This window comes from Homo sapiens, chromosome 13 (assembly GCF_000001405.40).
Source record: "Homo sapiens chromosome 13, GRCh38.p14 Primary Assembly".
NCBI classification, from domain to species: domain Eukaryota; kingdom Metazoa; phylum Chordata; class Mammalia; order Primates; family Hominidae; genus Homo; species Homo sapiens.
The window spans coordinates 111,753,856-111,776,917 of record NC_000013.11 but is presented as its reverse complement, the minus strand read 5'-3'; the positions used below and the strand labels follow the sequence as shown (position 1 = coordinate 111,776,917).

The 23,062-nt window shown below is 51.2% G+C and overlaps 1 long non-coding RNA gene across 2 annotated transcripts, besides 1 other annotated feature; it reads right to left on the bottom strand.

Annotated features, from left to right (window-relative positions):
• Nucleotides 1-23,062: part of a sequence alteration artifact (region identified as an assembly artifact by the Genome Reference Consortium. This region falsely duplicates sequence located at GRCh38 chr13:111668942..111703855) that runs on past the window's edge.
• LOC102724510 (uncharacterized) lies at nt 19,459-22,357 on the bottom strand. Of its 2 annotated transcripts, none has more exons than XR_931736.2 (3): nt 22,269-22,357; nt 21,270-21,466; nt 19,459-19,606 (listed from the first exon to the last, which is right to left on the bottom strand). It is a non-coding gene; the product is annotated as an uncharacterized LOC102724510 (long non-coding RNA). The 2 variants fall into 2 exon arrangements; XR_429281.3 differs by having other exon boundaries at nt 21,270-21,399.

The window sequence follows — 23,062 nt, the reverse complement described above, 5'->3', positions numbered from 1 at the left end:
GTAATTAACCCGGGTGCTGAGGTGACAGAGGGTTCCCTAATAACTCTATTGGTTCAGAAGGCGACATTTCCCCCATCTCTCCTGACAGTATCATCGGGATGTTGTCAATGCAAACAATACCGTTATCTAGCTTCTTTTTAAGTCACCTGATTAACTGGAGAAAATAGAAACAGAGAGAAAAGAGTGTGTCCTTGCACAGAGGTGGTAATGTCACCGAAAGGCCACAGGAATGTCCCGCCTTTGCCGGCAGCCTCGGGTCTCCCCCAGGCCACTTGGACCCTCCTCAGCCTGCAGGTGGCTGGCTCCCTGCTCAGCTCAGTCTCTGCCTGGCCACCGCCCAGGGACCCTTCCAGGCCTGGGACAGAAGCCACCTCCCCTAGGAAGCCCTGGCCAAGCTGTCCCAGGGGAAGGGCTGGGTCTCAGCTCACTGTTCACACAGCGCTGTGAGCTCAGGATCACACCCAGAAGTTGCCCAGGGAAAATCCCAGTGAAGCAACGGAAGGCAGGCAAGAGACCCTGGGATAGGTGTTTCTTCTGCCCACATCCAGCCTGCACTCCACGGCGGAAATGAGGGCATCTCACTGGAGCCGGGACCAGATCCTCTTACCTCAAGCAGGGCCTCTGGAGTATTTTTCTTAAAAAATGAATTCTGGACCACCACAAGGGTTAAAGTGCAGAGCATAGTAAATGCTTGTTAATGAAACAGTTGATGATAATGGTGATGATGCCTGATGTTCCTTCTGGGGCTCTGCGTGCCCGAGTTTGTGCTAAACGCTTCACCTGGACACCACTCAAGGCTTCAGCACGGCCTCCTTGGGGACCTAAGGGGGAAAGGGAATGCCAGACTCCAAGTTGGAAGTCTGGGAAAAATTTGAATTTTAAATCCTAAGGATTTTTTTTTCTCATAAAATATAGGGGAGGACATTATGTTTGTACATGTGTTTGCATGTAGGAGTGTGTATGTGTGTGTGTAAGCACGTGTTTCTGTTTGTATGTGTGTGTGTGCATGTGTGTTTGTATTTATATGCATTTAACAGTGTGTGTGAGCGTATGTTTCTGTGTGTGTGCATGTGTGTATGTGTGTGTATGTGTGTGTGCATTTGTGTGTGTGAGTATATGTGTTTCTGTGTGTGTGCATGTGTGTATATGTGTGTGAGCATGTGTGTGTGTATGTGTTTCTGTGTGTGTGCATGTGTTTGTATGTCTATGCATGTAGAACTATATTTGTGTGTAAGTGTATGTGTTTGTGTGTGTGTGTGTGTGTATGCACAAGTGTTTGTGTGGGGGCACACGCATGTAAGTATGTGCGCTATTTCTTTTGTTTCCCTGGCCTTCTGCTGCCTCAGTGTTGGAGAGGCAAGGCTAGAAGACTGCTTTTGGGAGAGTCAGGTATGCCTGCCTCTGGGCTAGCCTGTGGGGGATGGGTTCTGAGCCCCTGCAGGTGCTGCTGTAGATGACCAGGCCTTGGGCGGTAGCTTTATGTAGGACCCACTTGTTCCCCAAAGTCTCCAAGCAGGGCACTGCCAGTCCAGCACATAAAACATCCCAGTGTGGCCCCAGACAATCAATACCATCTGGTCCCCTCCCTTATCCCCAGGGGCAGGCTTGAGCTGGGGGTGTACAAGGTTTGAAAAGCAAACTGTTCTTCTGAACCCTCTGGGCTCATTATTCAATAGAACAGTGGTAACATAATGCATTTTCATTTACTTAGCCTTAAATATATGTAAATTAAAGGGTTTTCTTTTATTAAAAATAACACTGAAACTTACCACTGATGTGTTTTTGTTATTCTAAAAAGAAGCAGTACTAGAGGAAGGAGGCTCTAATGACATTTCACATTCAGATTTGTGTCTTGCTGAAGAAAGAGGGGCCTCCCGCCCCAGGGCTGAGCGCCCGCATAAAGCCCTGCCCAACAGCGCTGCCATCGGTGACTTTCATCCGAATGCATTCTCATTGTCTTAAGTTGTGATGGAGGCAACGGCGGGAATGGTGCACCATGGTTGGAAGCCTAATTGTAGCCAAGAAAGAAAAATAAATTGTTACTCTCCCCTAGGGGTCGTGGATTATTGGAGAAGCCGTGTTCAGTGTGGGGGAGGGGGTGGTGCCCGAACTTCATTGCTTCAGGATCGCAGCAGCCTCCCCAGTGTCTTCTGGAAGAAAGGAGTGGATTCTAAGGGGAGCCCAGCGCCCCGTTCCGGAGACTCACAAAGCCCCTCTGCCAGCCTCCCTCGCCGAGTCTTTCCAATTCATCCCACACTCCTCCACCCGGCAATTCTTGCCCATACTCCCTCTGCGAACGTCTTGGCATCCAGGCCCCTTCGCCCACCCACCAAGGCCCTCCAAACCTGAGCCCACACCATTTCTTAGGAAACTCCTGCTCCCTTTCAGTAAGACTCCTTCATTCTAGGCACCTGAGACCAGGCTGAGCACTCTGGATTTGTGTGCTGAGGCTGCTGTGAGGAACTACTGCAAACTGGGTGGCTTAAAGTAGCAAATATTTAGAATCCCATAGTTCTGGAAGCCAGAGTCTGAAGTCAAGGTGCTGGCAGAGCCAGGCTGTCTCCAGAGCCTCACAGCTCCATAGTCCATGATATTTTCTGGCTTGCAGCTAAAAAACCCCCATTCTGCCTCCGTCATCACGTGCTGTCTTCCTTCCATGCATCTCTCCCGCCTCCTTATAAGGACACCAAGATCCAGCACTGTACGGAGGCTTCTCAGATAAATTCACTTTCTGTGGGCCCCCTCTTTCTGAATTGCGCTAACTCTTGCAGCTCTCACTCCTGTAAGGTTCAGGAATAAGTCTTGTGAGGCCCACCGCCAATGAATAACCCCTACACTGTTGCTGAGTTTCTTAGAAGAGACTGTCACATCTTCAGTTAGATCACAGCTCTTCAGAGATCATAGCTCTACATAGATCATAGGTCTTCATGGATCATAGCTCTACATAGACCATAGCCCTTCATGGATCATAGCTCTGCATAGACCATAGCCCTTCATGGATCATAGCTCTGCACAGACCATAGCCCTTCATGGATCATAGCTCTACATAGATCATAGGTCTTCATGGATCATAGCTCTACATAGACCATAGCCCTTCATGGATCATAGCTCTACATAGACCATAGTCCTTCATGGATCAGAGTTCTACATAGATCATAGGTCTTCAGAGATCATAGCTCTACATAGACCATAGCCCTTCATGGATCATAGTTCTACATAGATCATAGCCCTTCATGGATGATAGCCCTTCATGGATCACGGCTCTTCAGAGGTCATAGCTCTACATACATCATAGGTCTTCATAGATCACAGCTCTTCAGAGGTCACAGCTCTTCATGCATCATAGCTCTTCAGAGATCATAGCTCTTCATGTATCACGGCTCCTCATGGATCATAGTTCTTCATAGATCATAGTTCTTCAGAGATCATGGCTTTTCATAGGTCATAACTCTGTATAGACCATAGCTCTTCACGGATCATGGCTCTTCATGGATCACAGCTCGTCATAGATCACAGTTCTTCAGAGATCATGGCTTTTCATAGGTCATAACTCTATATAGACCATAGCTCTTCATGGATCATGGCTCTTCATGGATCACAGCTCTTCATAGATCACAGTTCTTCAGAGATCATGGCTTTTCATAGGTCATAACTCTACATAGATCATAGCTCTTCATGGATCTTGGCTCTTCAGAGATCATAGCTCTTCATGGATCATGGCTCTTCAGAGGTCATAGCTCTACATAGATCATAGGTCTTCATGGATCATGGCTCTTCAAGGATCATAGCTCTACATAGATCATAGCTCTTCATAGATCATAGTTCTTCAGAGATCATGGCTCTTCATAGGTCATAACTCTACATAGATCATAGCTCTTCATGGATCACGGCTCTTCAGAGATCATAGCTCTTCATGGATCATACCTCTTCATGGATCATAGCTCTTTAGATATCGTAGCTTTTCATGGGTGATAACTCTTCATAAATCCTGGCTCTTCATGGATGATAGCTATTCATAGATCATGCCTCTTCATGGATCATAGCTCTTTATGGATCATGGCTCTTCATGGATCATGGCTCTTCATGGATCATACCTCTATGTGTCTTACTTTTCTGTCTTCACTCTGGCATCATGCAAAGGTCCACAGTAATCAGCAGAAATTTAGAGGGACGAGGGGGTTCCTATATTTTAGTGCCATCCCAATGAGAGACTGTAGGACAAACTCAGGATGTTGCCTCTTGAGTTCAAGATAATCTCAGATGATCAAAAATCATCTCCAACCCCCCACATCATCTTGCCAATGAAGCAGCAAGCTCTGTGTATATGATGGGCCCAGAGGTGTCTGCATCCTTGGACCTTCACGGCTCTTGGTGCCTGCCTCTTGTCAGGGAGGGTGTCCGAGGAGACAAGAGCAGAGAGCAGTGTCATTCCCACCTACAGGGCTCTCTAGCACCTCAGAGGCATTGCAGCCACCTCTCCCTGGCCTTGAGCTCAGTGACAGGGGTGGCCACCGGGCGGCCTTCTTGACAGGTTGGTGGGTGAGAGGTCACTGCCCCACAACACTATAGCTACTGTCAGGTCCTGCCGTGACTTTCCAACCATAAAGCCACTCAACATCCACAGCTGCGACTCTTCCATTCCAGAACTGGCTGCAGATCCCGCTCAGACCCCAAGACACTGTGCTATTTCTTTCAGGATTGCATGTTTCTGGAGTCACTGATTCAGGGATGACCTTGGGGTCAGTTGTCTCGGGAATGCGTACATCTCTGCCACAGCCTTATATGCCTTGAGTTCTGGCTTGGCCGAAGAGAACCGCAAAGAGATTCCGCAGTGGTTATGTTGCCTCTGACAGTGGAGAGAGGCACTGCACTGTAAGCTGCGCCCTCTGGGGTCTTTTCCCAAGCAGAGTACCCTATAGGGAGCTGAGGCGGCTGAACAAAGAGGAACAGGCCTGATCCTGAGGTCCAGGGAGACCCCAAGAGACCCCATGCACTTATTCTGTCCTCTCCCACACACCAACTGTGGAAAGGCCGATTTTTTTTTTTTTTTTTGACGGAGTCTCGCTTTGTCACCTAGGCTGGCGTGCAGTGGCATGATCTCGGCTCACTGCAAGCACTACCTCCGGGGTTCACGCCATTCTCCTGCCTCAGCCTCCCGAGTAGCTGAGACTACAGGCACTTGCTACCATGCTCAAAAAGACCGATTTTCATGCCTTAAGCAATACATTGAAGATCAGGGCTGGACCATACAACCAGGTTGAGAACCAGCGTGGGCCTAAGCAGGTTCCTACCCCATAGGATCAAGATGGTGAGGTGAGCAGTTCTGGCACTTCCTGAAACACCTGCCCTGTGCGTTCCAGCCCTGGTTCCTAATCTGTGGGAAGTGCCGACAGGGAAACACCCCAGCTCCGGTAAGAAGTGTGGCTCCGTGGAGCCGGGCAGCCCGGGCAAACAGCACTCCAGCTGGCTCCTTCCTACCGACTCCTCTCCATGCCTCGATTTGTTTTGTGTGCTAGAGACTATCTCACAATGAGATTTGGAAGATAAAGAATGATGGATAAAAATGAGAAAGGTAGCTAGGGACACATCCAGCATCTGCCCGCCCCACCAACGATGCTCCATGCGCGGGCCTCACCCTAATCTTTGATTCGCCATATGCTTTATAAGAATTGGATTCCTAGGTTATTTGGTATAATGTGTATGTATGTCTCTCAGTGGTGAGAACTGAAGGGAACGGCGTGGGCTCTAATGCCTCCGCTCACACCTGTGGTCCCGGCGGGTGAGTCCACTCCAGGAACAAATCTCCAAGCGCTCCCTTCCCAGGTAGAGCCTGTGCCTGTGCCGCTCGCTGCTGCTCCAACTCCAGCCCCCAGCCAGTCCATCCTAGATCTGCCGCTGCTGAGCCGGGACCCTCTCTCCTGCCATGTTTCTTCCAACCTGAGGGAAAAAAAGGTGGCAGCTGCCGGACAGGCTGGTGGGAGTGCAGGTGGAGGTCTGGAGGAGGGAGAGGCCGGCACTGAGAGGAAGCAGAGGGACGAGGTGACAGAGAGGGCATTTGGGGCAGGAGACAGGGTCAGAGCCGGAGGAGACAGCCAGCAGAGACTGTGAGCAGGGCAGGCCATGCATGGACAGGGCGACAGTGGGCAAAGCAACAGCCCAACGTCACCATCGCCATGTGCAAGCATCTCGGGTGCCTCCACCCTTTCTGACTCTGCCCTTCGTGGAGCCCGTGTGAGAGCTCTTCAGCTCCAGATGAATGGCCATCAGCACGAGGACGAGAAGTGCACCTGCTGTGAAGGTGGTGCTTGGACACCGGGCACGACGCCCAGGTCCCTCCCCCAGGACCAACACCCTCAGGCCCTGCTCAGGGAGGGCCAGTGCGGGGGCTGCCTTCATTCCAGGTTGAGCGGTGACCTCCCAACTTCCATGTCCACCTGCAGCCTCAGGATGGGACCTTGGAAACAGGGTCTTTGCAGATGTGACCAGCTCAGTCAGGAGAAGGTCACAGAGGAGTGGGGCAGGAGGAGGCCGTGTAAGGGCACAGATGCAGTGAGAGGACTGCGGGGAAAAAGGCAGAGCCTGGAGCGAGCAGCTCCCAGAAAAGGAACACCAGAGATGTCAGGAGGACAAGGAGGGGATCCCCCAGGGACGCCAGAGAGCCCCTATCCCTGCCCACACTTTGATCTCAGATTCTAGGCCCCCAGAACCATGAAGGAATAAATAAATTTCTGCTGTTTCAGGCCACCTGGTTTGCAGTATTTTGTGACAGCAGCCCCCAGACATGAATACATCCTCCGAAGGTTACCTCTCTCCCTGCTGGCCCTTCCGTGGCCTCATTCTGAGGCATCCCTGGGGGGCCTTCCCACCGCCAGAGCTCCCCAGACTACCCATCACACCCACACTGCAGCGAACCTCCATCTCAGAACCCAAAACAGATCACAGTAACTGGGGGTGGCAGGACGAAGGAGGGCTTTCTTCACTTTATAAGAAGTTATATTACTGTGACTTTGCTGTGTCTGTGATCAAGACGTCCCAGAAGAGCTTTCGTCCTTTCTTTGACTGACACAGGCACGCACACAGGCCCAAATGCACAAGCACATGTGCACGCACAGACCAGCCCGGTGCCATCACTGTCATGGTCACAGGTTGGTCAGTGAAGGGATGACGCCCGGGCAGGTGCTGGCTTTTTAGATAAAATTCTTGATGCTGCCGGAGTCTTCAAACTCCTTCTCTGCTCTACCAAACTGCTAAACTGGTAGCAAAGTTGGGTGACTGGTGCCGCCTAGCCTATTGTTTCCCTGGCCACTTTGTAGTGGAATTGTCAGCACATCCGAAGATGGAAGGGTTTGATTCTCGACGACTGGGCGCTCCTTCCAAGCACAGGTGAGGGTGGCCTCCCTGCAGGATGATGGCTGCTGGCCATGCTGGCTGGGCCCCACCAGGCATGGCTGCCACGCTGCCTGGGCCACTGCAATCAAGCAGACTGGTTGTTGAGCCACAGTGGATGGGAACATTTTTAATGATTTAGTGAGATCTACAGCAGCCAAACATTATCTCTTAAGAAGGTCCCTACCCAGAGCTGAGAGCAAGATTGAAGTTATCCCCCAGGCAGAAGGAGTTGTTATCAAGCTTCAGTCACCAGAGAACAGCACGACAGTGACCAGGGGACACAGCCTCACTGTCACCAGAGAACAGCACGACGGTGACCAGGGGCCACAGCCTCACTGTCACCAGAGAACAGCACGACGGTGACCAGGGGACACAGCCTCACTGTCACCAGAGAACAGCACGATGGTGACCAGGGGACACAGCCTGTCACCAGAGAACAGCACGACGGTGACCAGCGGACACAGCCTCGCTGTCACCAGAGAACAGTACGACGGTGACCAGGGGACACAGCCTCACTGTCACCAGAGAACAGCACGATGGTGACCAGGGGACACAGCCTGTCACCAGAGAACAGCACGATGGTGACCAGGGGACACAGCCTGTCACCAGAGAACAGCACGATGGTGACCAGGGGACACAGCCTGTCACCAGAGAACAGCACGATGGTGACCAGGGGACACAGCCTGTCACCAGAGAACAGCACGATGGTGACCAGGGGACACAGCCTGTCACCAGAGAACAGCACGATGGTGACCAGGGGACACAGCCTGTCACCAGAGAACAGCACGATGGTGACCAGGGGACACAGCCTGTCACCAGAGAACAGCACGATGGTGACCAGGGGACACAGCCTGTCACCAGAGAACAGCACGATGGTGACCAGGGGACACAGCCTGTCACCAGAGAACAGCACGATGGTGACCAGGGGACACAGCCTGTCACCAGAGAACAGCACGACGGTGACCAGGGGACACAGCCTATCACCAGAGAACAGCACGACGGTGACCAGGGGACACAGCCTCACTGTCACCAGAGAACAGCACGATGGTGACCAGGGGACACAGCCTCACTGTCACCAGAGAACAGGACGACGGTGACCAGGGGCCACAGCCTCACTGTGGATCGGTCCTGGGGGGCCTGTGGCTTCCCAGGCTGATTTTCCACACGTGTTGACCTCCAACGGATAAAAGCACGACCCCAGAACGCGTTTCTGGATTTTGTTTGTGACTCAGTTGATTCCAAGCAGAACCTTCCAGTGGATGGACACAGACTGTCACCCGGCCCGCTGGGGAGAGCCACACACTCACCGGAAACCCACGGCCAACAAGCCGCGTGGAAAGCTTTCTCATCCAAGTGTCAGAAATTTCTAGAATCCATTAATAAGTGTGGTATTAGGAGGATTCTGCCCAGACTAGGATGCGGAAAACTGTTAAGGGGGAAGCCAGAAGAGGAAAAAGCCGCAAAGCCTGAGGTAAAGTCATTAAGCGGCAGCTGAGAGGCCCTGGAGCAGAGAATGCCACTGACTTTTGTGGCTGAGCAGAACCTGGTCCTGTGGAAAGAACAAGGTCTGAAGCACAGCCCAGCTGAAGGTGTTTGGCCCCAACAGATCCGAGAAGGAGATGATTTTGTTCTACAAATTACTTTCTTTTTTTGTTGGTGAGACGGAGTCGCGCTCTGTCACCCAGGCTGGAGTGCAATGGTGCAATCTTGGCTTACTGCAACCTCTGCCTCCCAGGTTCAAGTGATTCTCCTGCCTCAGCCTCCCAAGCAGCTGGGATTACAGGTGCCCACCATCATGCCTAACTAAGTTTTGTATTTTTATAGAGATAGGGTTTCGCCATATTGGTCAGGCTGGTCTAGAACTCCTGACCTCAGGTGATCCACCTGCCTTGGCCTAACAAAGTGCTGGGATTACAGGTGTAAGCCACTGTTCCCGGCCTACAAATTATCTTCTAGACCCCCAGAGACAAGGAATGACCAGATGACTGAACACCTCTATGGCCATATTTTTTCTGGACACCTAAGGTCTCAAGTTTGACACGTTACCAGACCTGAGAAATGGACAACACCCATCAGTCCAAGCCTTTTAAGAAGTTGAAGCAACTCTCCTGTCAATTCCCGTGTTGCCAAAAGATGGCCAGTTGACCAAAACTAGTAAAATATCATAGCAAAACCCAGATCTATAACTCTTTGTAATCCTTCACGGAGACCCAGGAGACCTGTGAAAGGACCGTTTACTCCTTTCTTGAAACAGCATCTTTTGGGATTGCAGGGCCTCGAATCCTTCTCTTAAGGATCCTACCACAAAACAAACAGCCATTTTTCCTTTAGAACATCTTATTAAGGCAGAGAGGAGAAAAACAACCAAATTTGAAAGTCAATCAATTCTATCGCCAAAGATAGAGTCTTATGATGTGAAGAGAGAACACTGTTTAATTATCATAAACTACAAACTTCTGTTGTCCCACAAACTGCCTTAATTCAGCCACATTTGCGCTCGGTCAGCATCCTCAGCATCCCCTCCAAGTTTGGGCTTGGGAATGAGAAGGAACACAGAGCAGAGAAAGCAAACATCTAGAACCAGACGTTGGTCACCAGGCAAGAAACGTTTCTACAGGGGACGGCCCTTGGTTCCTGTTAGGGCGCAAGGGACCTGAGTGTACCCGATGTCCCTACATGGTTCGGCATGGCTGCCTGCGCACTGTCGGTGTGTGCCCAGCCTCGCCACTCTTTTTTAAGCAAGAGAAATGCACTCATGACAAGATTCTCGAGGAAGCGTTCTAACCCTGTGCAGAGTAACGCTGTGCAGTGTGGGAGTGTTCAGGCCTCCTGAGCGCCCTGATCCCGGCAGGCTCTCTCAGGTACCTGTGAGCATTTGCTTGTGTGCCTTTCAACCTGGCTTGTTTGGTAAAATTTCCAAAAAGGCACCCATGGACAGGACAGCAGGCCAGGCTGCAGGGCAGCGTCAGGGATGAGGGTGAGGAAACATGAACCTGGGCTCCCACGGTCCCAGGGGCTCCAGAAACCCTCCTCTGCCCTGGGTAGCCGGCTGCTTTCTTCCACACAGCAACCGAGCTCCCACCTGTGTTGCTTCAGAAGGGGCCTGCTGGCTGTCACTTCCACATTCCCGTGGGGAGCCCACGTGCTCTGCACGGACATCCCATCAGAAGCAGAGACTTCCCATGCCTTTTTTGTGAATCAGTTGTTTGGCTGAAGGAGGAAAAACCCCATCAATATGAAAAACCTTCTCCCTTCGCACTTAAAATTGCTGCATGTTGCTTTGAGGGTTCAAAGGGCCGTACTTTGCCACATTTGGGCTCCATGGCAGAGCACACGAGGCACGTAGCAATGGGCCGCAGTTGCACGGTGAAGCCGCGGCCCGCATCCCAGCCCCGGCCACTTCTCAGCATGTTGAGGAGGTGCAGGGCAGCCCTGCTCACACAAACACGGCCACGTGACGCGAACACGCCACCCCGATGAAGTTCAAGTTAGAACCGAACCCCCCCCCAACCCAGTGTTGTCCTGACTTCAACACTCTGCCCCTCCTGTGGCCCAAATGCCCTCCGGGGCCACTGGGCAGGGGCTGGCCAGCCCACCCGCCTCAGGGAGCATGGAGCCCAGCCAGGATCCTGCCTGCCACATGGAACAGGCTGCCGAGTCACCAAAGAGAACGGGTCCGAGTAGGAGGATCCCACGAGCAGTTTGGCAAGCCCTTTGCCGGCCTTACGTGTGTGCCTCATTCCCAGCGTAACACATAAATCCCACCTCTGGGAAGATGTCTAGGGCCCCACAGTACAGGACGTGGCACTGTTGGGGTGTGGCAGAGTGATAACACCCGGCTGACTACACGGGAATACAATGTGAGTGTTGCGGTGTGTGCAGACAAGGGGTCGTGACATGGCACTTCAGGAGGGCAGTGCATCCCCTGGTAAACTGAGGCACAGGAAGCTGCTGCCTGTGGTGTAGTCTGGCAGCACCGTGAGCGCCTGGCCCTCTGTTTACTTGTCTGCACCTGAGTGTGGCTGCCCGGTGAGCCCTGCCACCGTCCCCCGAAAGAAAGGACTCTATCCAACAGACAGGCTCATGCCCTGGGAAAATAACCAATCTGCACCGAGTCAAAGGCTGGACGGCAGCTTCCCGCCCTGCTGTTCTCCCCTGTGCTGCCCGCCGTGGACGGGGCAGGGATGCTGCTTCTGCTTATGATTATTGTTTTGAACCTGCCACTGAATCGTTCTGAGTTTTCACCCAGCGGCAAATGTCCCTCCTTCAGAGACAGTGTTCAGCTGAGGCCGCTGAGAAAGGGAGGGTGTTGTTTTTGTGAATGACTCATTAGCACCTCTAGTGACTGGCAAGGCCTTCTTGGAGCAAAGGAGACTCACAGGAGAGAAATCGCCCCTGTGTCCTTTTCAGGGAAGGGGAAGAAAGGAAACAAGTTGCAACGACAAACGCGGGTTCCTTTTCCCTGCAGTCCCGCTGGAGGGGACATGAAGCCCCACACCTGTCTCGGTTTGTAAATTGAAAATATATTGGTCCTATTGCTGCTGATTTTCTCTTTTCTTTTTCTTCTTTTCTTTTTTTTTTTTTTTTGAATGGGTGGGAATCATTCCACTTTGCCATGAGGAATGCTGAAGAAATGAATAATTAAAAATGAAAAAAGAAAGTCTTTTCAAGGCTGTTTACTTGGGTGACACAAATGTTTCTTTCTCCTCGTAGGGCCCACCCACAGAAAGGAGCCGAACAATGCCGCACTGGGCTTTGCCGGCCAGGCCTCGAGAGCCCAACGTCGCAGAGCCCTGCTGGGCCCTTTCAGCTGACGCCGCGCCTGACGGGCCAGCCCAGACGCCGGCCTGCCCGCTGCTAATTACGAGGGCATTGTTGCTTGAGTGCTTTCTGTGTTTACATAGTTGGACAAGTCTCCCTTAATTGTCCAAAAAAAAAAAAAAAAAGGAAAAAGAAAAAGAAAATTACTAATATTTCAGAAAAAGGGCAGGCTGATCGGGGAGAAAGGATTTACCCTTCACATGTATCAATATTGAGCACAAAACCCAGAGCTCTTCTTTGATAGCCCCCTCGGCCTTGGGCGAACTTGGACAGACTCCTCCACGAACTTCCAGAGCAGGTGCCCAAAGGCTTTTGCGATCTGCAGACACGCAGATGAGTGTCAGTAGCTTGCGGCTCTGGTTACAGAGGGTTTAAGTTATCCTAGCAAGTAAATAACCAAAGTTACATCATTTTAATCAACATTCATCATTTTAATTGCCTGAATCTCCACCAGAACAAAGTAACGCTATAGTTTTATGGTATTTGATTAATGAGGGCAGGAAAATTGAAGTTTTTGCAATAAAACTAAAAAAAAAAAAATCAACAGACTTTTATCGTTTTTTCCCTTGTGATTTTAATTTAATGGCTCGTGTTTTCATTACTGCAGAGGCTGTGCACTTCGGCGTGCAATTATGTCCCATCTGTGAAGCTCTGTGTTACTGTGTTATTACAGTTTATTCCAGCAGCTTTTCAATCACTTTTGAGTTGGGCTTTACAAGTATTCTTGCAGCAGGTGGGCTTCCTGGCACGGGCCCAGGAACACACAAAGCGCAAAGCTGGAGTCTAATGGCAGCATATGCATGTGGCACGGAGCAGCAGCCTTCCCCCATATGCTGCGGGCAGCCCTTGAGCCTGCCAGTCACTCTTCTTACTGACTACAGTCTCTAAGTAGTTTTCTGCCAGGGAAAAATATACCAAGGCAGCAAATTTCTCCAGTGCACCATCCTTATTACTGAGACAACCCTGTCATTAGCAGGAGCACAATGAACGTGAACCAGGGATGCATACCAATTAGGCTCCACGGAGCACTTTCGCTTCTTATCTCCATGGAGACGCGCCCCCCGGCTGCAGTGGACAGGCAGGAATGTCCCCCCACCCATATGCCACCTAGTTAACACTGCACACTTTCATGTGAACCCAAATCCGCTCCAGCCCTCTCCGCTGCGGAGAGAAAGGAAAGAAAACAACGGAAGTCTCCGTCCATGGGGAGGCAGAGCCTTTCGAATTCCGGGTCTCGTGCAGCCACAGCTCCCAGCCACAGACGGGAGTCGCTGCATTATCACCCGTACGGCGTCTAAATCTAGAAATAATACCCACCGCCCCCTTCAATCTAGCGGGGAGAGTTTAAACAATCTAAAAGAAATTGCCTTATCCCGTTCAGAAAAAAATGGAAACCCAATATTTGTTTTTAAATCGACAACGTGTCTCGCTTCCGAGAGCCTAGGACAACTCCATCCGCCGCTCCAGAGCCCTTCTCCCTGGTACTTTCTGCCCGTACCCCCGCCCCCCTGTACAGAATGCACCTAAGGAAACAAAGACTCGGTGTGTGTGGAAAGGATCTCCCCGCTGGCATTCTGTGAACTTTGCAAAGACCTGCTAACGAAGTCTTTTGTTTTCTTTGAGTGTGTGTGTGCATGTGTTGAGAGAGGGAGAGAGGGAGATGGTTTTTATTTCAGTGGCCCAGTATGTAGGCAACTGAGACATTCTGACTTCCAGAGTTTCACATTGTGGGTTGGGGTTCTCATTTTAATTTACAGTGTTAACTACCAGCAAGAGATACACCACGGCTTTATTTTCCTCTAAATTCCAGCAGCAAGTTGACAACAGGGCAACCCCTTGCATGCTGATGTCAGCCCTTCCTGAGCATGTCACCCCCTCCTGGGCCGGCTGCGTCCCCATCTTTGTGAACCAGCAGCCCCTTAGCAACCCTCTTCTGAACCTTCATCGTCTTCCTACCAAGGATGATGCAGGCTCTGTCTCTTACTTTCTTCATGCAGGGGTATTTTTTCCAATATTGGCTCTAAACCGTCACTCACCTTGCAAGAGAAAGAAATTCTCTCAAGCTGATGGTAGCAAACCACTGCGGCCAAAATGAGGGGTAACCGGCCCTTGCACTCCCAAAACTGCTGTGGCCACAGCCTCTTTCTGTTGTGTATGTGTGCCGGGGCTTTTGAGGAAGCACAAGTTCTGCGGTGAGCCGGTGCAGACTTAGCTTCCCACCGAGCCACAGCCTGAGCTCGACAGGAACCTAAGTCAGTCCCATTGAAGGCACAAATAAGTGTTGTTTGAAAAACACACACACACACACACACACACACACACGCACACAAAATATAAGATGCTGTGAAATAAAGTCACATAATTAGTGATGGTGAAGCAGGAAGATGAAAGGTACAGGGGGCTGGGAAACCTGACTTCTGAGCACAAAATCAACTGATGTAGGACGAGTGATTTCCCCAGGTACCGTCACTTATAGAACATTTATTTTTTATTATAAGAGCAATTCTAGATATACATGAAATTCACTGGATTCTGATGGGAATAATTTCCTCCTGCCTAATGCGTCCCTATGGAAATCACACAACTCTTTGATTTGTGTTTTTAAGTTCAAGTCATCAAGGGAAAAGAAAACTTCTTTAGTAAAGACAGAGTAATCCTCAGCCCACCTCAAGCACAGCCGAGAAGGCGGAGGGAGGCCAAGTCACAGGAGGTTTAATTCGGTGCTCAGGGCTTGGCCTTCCTCCCAAAATACAACGGGGTCCAGATGAAATAAGAGATGGCACTTGAACGATTCAGCAACTTCACCTCCCAGCCACGTTGGAGACATCCTGTGCAACATGTGAATAACTACCAAGACCCTGCATTCCCTGACCCAAATGCCCAAGTTAGAACCACAGCCCAAGAGAATGAAAGGAATTTGTATTTATACTTATTTATGCTTTGTTCTTTCCCAGAGAAGATCTGGAAAGCCTGCTGTGGCCCTACCTGGCACATCAGGCTCTACAGAGAGCGGCTGTTTTCTTCATTCCTTGAAGAAGGTCGGCTAATCTCCCCCACCCCGACATTTACAGGTTCCGATGCAGCTGGGGAGATGTGAGCTCCTCAGACTAAAATCCAGCGTCCTGTGCTCCACCCACCCCAAGAAAGGCAGGGGCTTCTCGTCAGGGGGCTGCCCAGAGGGTCCGACGCCTCCTATTCCAGTCACGATGCTCGATGACCCTCTCTTATTTTCGTTCTCACACTCTCTAGGCAGCAGGCAGTGACACAGCCACACACTAGGCAATGAGGGGTCAGCCATGCCAAAGCCCACCAGGCCTCTCTGTCTGTCCACTTACCGCAAAGCAGTGCCCAACTGCTGGTTGGGCTATGCTGAACTTCTTAAGGCAAAACCTGCGCCCACAGAGCCACTGTTTCCTTCTTCCTCTCAGACCTGGGTTGCCCTTCAGCCGTGTTCAGCCTGGCCAGGGGTTGAAGGTGCCACCCGGCCAGACTGATGGGATCTCTGTTGGGTTGGGCAGACAGTCACGAATGGGCACCCCCCGCCTGCTGGCTGAGTGTCCAGGCTAGTGAGTCACTGTCCGTTCTGATCTATTGAGTGGCCTGCTAGAGTTTGGCCACCCAAATCTCATGTTGGAACGTAATCCTCAGTGTTGGAGTTGGGCCTGGTGGGAGGTGATGGGGTCATGGGGGACGGATCCTGGGGCCATCCTCTTGGTGATGAGTGAGCTCTTGCTCTGAGTTTACATGAGATCTGGTCATTTAAAGTGTGTGGCACCTCCCTCCCTCTCTCTCTTGCTCTCTTTCTCTCTCGTTCCTGCTCTCACTGTGATGTGCCTGCTCTCCCTCCACCTTCCACCATGACTGGAAGCTTCCCGAGGCCTTCTCAGAAGCTGAGCAGATGCCAGCACCATGCTTATACAGCCTGCAGAACCATGAGCCAATTAAACGTCTTTTCTTTGTAAACAACCCAGTCTCCAGTATTTATTTAAAGCAATGCAAGAACAGCATAGTTCACAGCCATTGCAGGGCCAGCACCTCTGCTCTTAGTCAGAGCCTATACTGAAGAATTTTTACAGACGTCTCAGCCCACCCTCTCTGGGGCCATGCTTTTTCTTCGTGGGTGCTGTTACAGGTTGAACTGTGTCCCTACAAAAGATATGCTGAGGCTCTCTCCCCTAGAACTTCACAATGTGACTTTTTTGGAAGTAAGGTCATTGCAGATGTAATTAGACAAGAGGAGGTCATCCAGGAGTCGGGTAGACCCTAATCCAACAGGGCTGGTATCCTCATAAGGAGAGCGGGTTGGACACAGAGAGGAGACACGCAGGAAGAAGGCATGAGGATGGAGACAGAGATCGGACTGAAGCATCTACAAGCCATGGGGGCACTGGGGCTATGGGGCCACCAGATAGTGGAAGAGATGGGAAAGCATCTCTCCCCAGGGGCTTCCGAGGGAGCAGGGCCCTTTGGATGCCCTAATTCCAGACTTCCGGCTTCCAGGACTGTGAGAGGGTTCATCTCCGTGGTTTGGAGCCACCCTGTTTGTGGCACTTTGTTACAGTAACCCTATGGAACCAACGCGGGTGCCCTTTAGACAGTGACTCCCCAGGTTCATAGAATAAGGGAAGAAACAGGACATTTCAATGAAAAAGCAGTTAGTTTAGGTTCCCAGGGGTATAGAGAATGTTCGAGGGCTCAGGAGCCACATGGCCTGCATTCTACTCAGTCCTCACAAAGGGCGGCAGAGTGTGTCCGTAACTACAAGGACTCTGGATCCAGTTGGTCTCAGTCCAAATCTCAGCCCTGCCAGGTGGTGGATATGCTGCCTTGGAGAAGTTACTTAACCTCTCTGAAACTCAGGTTTTTCATCTGGGAACCGAAGACAAAAGCAGCCTCTGAGTCATAAATTTATATCAGGCAGAGTAAGCCAACCCATGTAAAAAATCATGTCTAGTATATAGTGTATAGTTAATGCCTGGGGACTCATGTATAGTAAGATTTATAGGAATAAATGCTATCTTTTTTCTCTTTACAAAAGCTATATTTAATTTTGTGTCATCACTGCCCAAAGTCATTTTCCAATTCCAAGTCAGTCGTACATCCAACACAGGTTTCTTTTCACATACAAAATAAAACCACAGACTTGTCTGAAGTGGGCAAGAAAACTCTGCTTTCTAGAACTGATGTGCAACCAAGGCTGTTCTTGGCTGCCCTGTGGGACAGCTCCTGACTGTCCCCACTGAGCTCCTGGCCCCCAAGTCTGTGTCACTCTTTCCATCAGCAGCACCCTACCCCAGGGTATATGATGGGCCTTCTTTTCGTTAATGTTCTCATATTTATTTTCTATCTCCTCAAATAAATATGAATAATAAGTACCTTAAAAATAGGGATTGCATGTAATAATTCCTCATATCTCTAGCCCTCATACATTATTTTCAACATGAAACGAGCTTAAAAAATTAAATAAGATAAAAAGCAAAATAACAGATGAAAGTCAGGTGGTTATGGTGACCGCGTGTGTTTATGCAGCACTTTAGAGCCCATAGGACACCCTCCGTGTGCTGTCCTGTCTGGTCCAGCCTCAGTGGCTGCAGCGCTTTTTTTTTTTTCTTCTTGCAAATGAAGACATGAGGCCATTATTATTATTAGCATCTTCATATGCAGATGAAGGACATGGAGCATAAAGATGTTTAGGAGCTTATTCAAGGTCCACAGCTAGTGAGGACCACACCCCCAAGCAGGTCGACCCAGAATCTGTGCTGTTAACTGCAAAGCTATCGTTCCCTCTTCATGGTGTGGGGAAGATTACCATAGGTAACACGTGCCCATCACTCACAATGGTGCCTTCTCTTCAGGACTCAGTAGATGCCAGCTCTAAGTAGGGTGATCACATAAAAGCTCCCTCTCATGTTTGGAAATGAACAATGGCACACGTATCAATTACATCACAACAACAGGTGAAAAAGCAGGGCCCTCTCAGGCAACCTGACTCACACAGTCTCCTCAGTGGTAATGATGGTCCCGGATTATCAGCTCCCAGGGAGAAGAGCACATCTTGCCACAGGCACTTTGTGTGGAGACTCATGAATATTTAGGACCAGGGTGTTTTCCTCCGGAGGCCGGATCTGGGGCAGCAGAGGGGAGAGTGAGGCTGCATCCAGGACTCTGAGGCAGGCAGGGTACCGGTCGCACCGAGACCCCGGTATAAGCAAGGTTTTAAAATCCCCCAGTGGGAAATCTAATAAAGTAACCTGGATTATTTTGAATCCACCCACTTATCAGTATGCCCTTCCATGTGGGAGACTCAGATGAGCATCATTAAACCTCTGCTTCTATAAAATCCACACACTATTCATGTCATACATATGGTCAAAATACAAGTGAGATATGGGTACGTATGTTGCAAATTATGCTTATGGCTTTTAATAGTTATATGATTGCAATATGTTGGAATAAGCCTTAAATATGCAATATGTTGGAATAATCCGAAAATCTTAATTATGGTGGAAGCCACTGGGTGGGTGCGTCTGAGTGGGGTGGGAAGGACGCGCCTCAGATTCAGAGAATCCCAAGGTCAAGGGGCAGCTGTGATGCCCACCCACTTGGGCAAATCGCTTTTCATCCTCAGCATCCTCAGGTGTAAACCTGGGGCCCACGCAGGCTCCCTGTTCAATATTTAAAAAAATAGAAAAGTAAAATGAAGATCCCGTTTGTCCTTTCTCACTTTTGCAGGATGATTGGGAAAATCAAATAAAATAATGCAAATATAGTTGCTCAATTATTCAACATTTATTGCACACCTCCTGTGTATCACACCTGCATGAAGCACTTGGCTTGCAGACAGGGAGAAGGACAAATAAACTGACAGCTATCCTGCAATGTGCCGAGCGTGCAGGTGAACCTGGCCCTTGGGCTAGCATGGACAGGCACTCCCTAATTTACCCATCCTCATGGAAACTGTTCTAGAGCTCTGTGTTTTAGCCAGCAAGCCCAGGTCTGTGCTCAAAATGAACAATACTAATGTCAAAATTTATAGCAAGATATTAACATGATAAAGCCAATTTTTACACTGCCTTATAGGTGTTAAAATAGGTACTAGTGAACAACTGATTTTATCTTTGTCCCATTTGCGGAAATTTCTAACCTGGATAATCTTTAAAGTCTATAGAAATAGACCTGGTCATTTTTTTCCATTTGGAATCATCGATTTATTTCACTTAAGTTATCACAGTGCAAATCATAGCTCCCGGTTTCTTCCAGTCTCGGCTCCTTTTGAGCTGATGTCGCACAGATGAAATTTCAGCTCCTGCCCCTTGTAATTATGCAAGCTGAGGCCTTGAAAGCTGTGACTGCATCAGAACACTTTTCTAACCGACTCTGTTTAGTCCACACCAGGCTGGGAGAGTAAACAAATGCAGTATGTGAAAGGGTAGCTTTGCGTAGGTACTGTCCAGTTTGAAATTGCAAAAGATTGATTTTTCCATGAAAACCCCTGGATGTGTATCTGCCCTTGTCCTGACCTCTGAGCTGCCTGCCCCTCCCTTTTTGAAGCCCTCTCCTCGCCCACATTCTGTGACCTCACCTCACCCAGGAAAGCCCCGCACCTCCTATCCCCCAACTGCCCTTGGGTAATAGGGCCCACTCTTGGGTGTGGCAAGGACAGGCAGGACATCCACCAAATCCATGCCTCTTCCCCACACAGGATACTACTGCACCCTAACCCCCTTGCAGCTGGGCTGGGACCTGTGACTGGGTTTTGACCCAAATGTTCCTGAACAATTCTCAAGACTTTGATGATGTTTGGCTGGAAGGCATCTAAGGAGGAGGCCAGAAGAAATGCAGCACCATGAGACAGAAGATACTGGCAGACCCTGGCCTGCGCCTGGTAAGGTTGCAGGAAGCCTGTGAGGTGCAGGGGCGGCCGGCTCGGGCCAGCATCAGCGAGGCTGCCGTGGCTTCAGTACTAGCTGAGTGCCACTGGCCCAGCTCTGTGCTCTCAGCCCCCGCCTCTCTCCGGAGCTTCCACCTGCAGATCCACCACTGGACGTCTCCACGTCTTAAGACAAACTCCCCTCCTCCTGCCAAACCCCCATCTGCTCCTCTGCCTCTGGGGACGCTTCCATCCACAGCACTAAGGATGGGTGATGACTCCCCAACCTCCCTGTGCCTGCCATCACCTGCACCCCAAAGTCCTCCTCCCCACTCCTGGGGGTCTCTCTGCTCCAGGTCTACACCACCTGAACCCCTGGCCTGGCCATTGGAAGAGCCTCTGTGACCTGCCCTGGCCCCGGGCCTTCTTCCAGACCCACTTTCCCCTGAACGTAAAGGAACACACATTTGATTCGGATGCCATCCTGCTAACGCCGCCACCCCCCTACCCCCGCCCCGCAACAGCACTTTTCCATGGGATTCCAGGACCAGTTGGGCTGAGGCCTCTGGACGTCCCTGCCAGCCTCGTCTCTCCCAGCCGCCCTCCTTCCCACCGCAGACCGCCACTGCCCTGCCTCTGCTGCCCCATCCCACAGGCAATCCTGCCTCCTGCCAGCTCTTGGCCTGGGCTCTGGGCTGCCTCACGCCCTGCCCTGCCGTCCTTTCACAGTCCGGCCTCGCCTATCACCTTCCTGTCTCCCCTGCCCTGTGGGGATGGCTCCCGCGCTCCCCGTCACATGTGCAGCCACATGTGTAAGACGGAAGAGAGAGGGAGGGAGGAAGGAAAGATGGAAAGGAAGGAGGAAGGGAGGGGAAAAGGGAGGAGGGGACAGGGGACGGGCAGACGTAGTATTTCCAGTTCATCCCTCAAACCAACATCTTACCCCTTTTATATAATTGTACCCCTTGATCTGGCCTTGCCAGCATAGGCGGGACCCCCGCTGAATCCAGTCCGAGCTGTAGGGAGCTGGTACTGTGCAGAGCATCTGCGGGCCCCCGGGCCTGTCCCCAGCTTCGCCGCCACCCCCTCCACACAGACCCCAGGGGCAGAGCCTTGCTACATGGAATGTGGGGACCCTGTGGGCCCCCGGGCCTGTCCCCAGCTTTGCGGCCGCCCCCTCCGCACTGACCCCTGCGGCAGAGCCTTGCTGCGTGGAGTGTCACACGCGCCACTGCATGGATGCCCTTTGAGAGTCTGCAGGGAATGCTGGCGGGAGTCATCCTGTGGTGAGCCGTGGTCCACATCTGGATCCATCTCATCTTGTAAAATGGATTTTTTAAAGGTATTAAACCTTCCTTCACCTCAAACACAGTCTTTCTGATGGGGCTGCAATGGTGATAAGTTCTTATGGGCAGACGCGAAGGAGAGGAAGGCCTGGGCGGTGCAGCTGTGGGAAGCAGGCCGCTCTTCCTACAGCCTTGCCACACCATGACCTGCCAGCGAGCAGGGAGCGTCCAGACCGTGTCCCTCCCCTCCTCCCTTCCCTGCTGGGTGTCGCACCAGATAGACAAGGGCAGATGTGAACAGATACAATCTGCCTCAAGCCAGAGGCCGGCACCCCGCTGGCTCCCGATGGGTCCTCAGTTATTCATTGCTTGGTTGAAAGTGAGTTTAAGAAAGCAGCTGAGCCAGGCGCTCCTCATACAGCAAGGTCTGATGGTGATGGCTAGAGGGCCGCGGCCTCCGGAGCTGACAAGGAACCTTGGAGCTGCCTGCTGTCACCCAGGGGTCCCTGCTGTGTGCTCGCCTGTGTCTCTCTCCATCGGGGACATTGCTGGGGCCACACAGCAGGTGCTTTCAGAAAACGCCCCCCAGGCCTGTGGAAAGTCGCTGCCCATGCCACCCTGAAGTGCCTCGCACTAAAAGAACATTTGAAGACGCCCAGGTTCACCCACAATTCCACCATAGCCATGGCGGGGGGCGGGGGTGTGTGTCTCGAGCCCGTGGTGACAGACTCAGACTGACCCTCTCCCCTGAAGCCCACGGTGTCACTGAAAGCATCTTTTAAAGACTCACATTTTACTTAAAAAGACTAACGTTTTTAAAGAACAACTAACCCTAACCCTAACTCTACCTCTAACCGTAACCCTAACTGGATGAGTATGATTCTAAGATGTGAGAAACAAACCAGAAAAAGCATTTCCTTGCTCCTTAGAAAGTATTTTCCGAGCGTTAAGCTTAAATTATTATAAACATCTTAGCGCCTGCGCCAGCACCCTTCAGCCTAGAGGAAAGTCCCGAGGGGGCAGGGGGCAGGGGGCAGGGGGCAGGGGGCAGGGGGCAGGGGGCAGGGGGCAGGGGGCAGGGGGCAGGGGGCAGGCGGCCGGAGGAAACGGCGGTCCTTGTGAGCGCCTGGAAACCGCCCCACACACTGTGAGCCCACATCAGACCTTGCGAAGGTCACTGGGCCTTCTGGAGCCTCGCCAGGCCTCAGAGCAGCTCCGAAATGCTCAGGGAGGAAGGGGACTATTTCTTCTGAAGACATTGCGGGTGCAACTGTGACCCCGTTGGTAATCGGCTCCACCTCCAGCATTTTCCTGGAGCTGACGCTCCAGAGGAGGCTCAGTCCCACTCATCCCGCACGTCTCAGATCCCCATTCAATTTCTATCCTGCATGGGAGTTAAAAAAGAAAGACGCTGATTGGGCCTAGGAAAATAGAGGTAATTTTCTGTAATTTGGTTTTATGTAACCAAATGTATACACTTAAAATATGCTCACATTAATATCCACAGGTGGAAACAAACAGAAGTGATCTTGTTAACCACAGGGCGGCAACCAGCCCCGGAATGGTTACGTGGGAGCCTGTGCAGCGTCCAGGCAGGGCCACACGCAGACCTTTCCAGATGAGGGTGGGAAGCAGCTGCGTCTTATCTGTGGAGGAAATCCCAGGGTCCCTTCCCAGTTCTCCGGGGATGAGCGTC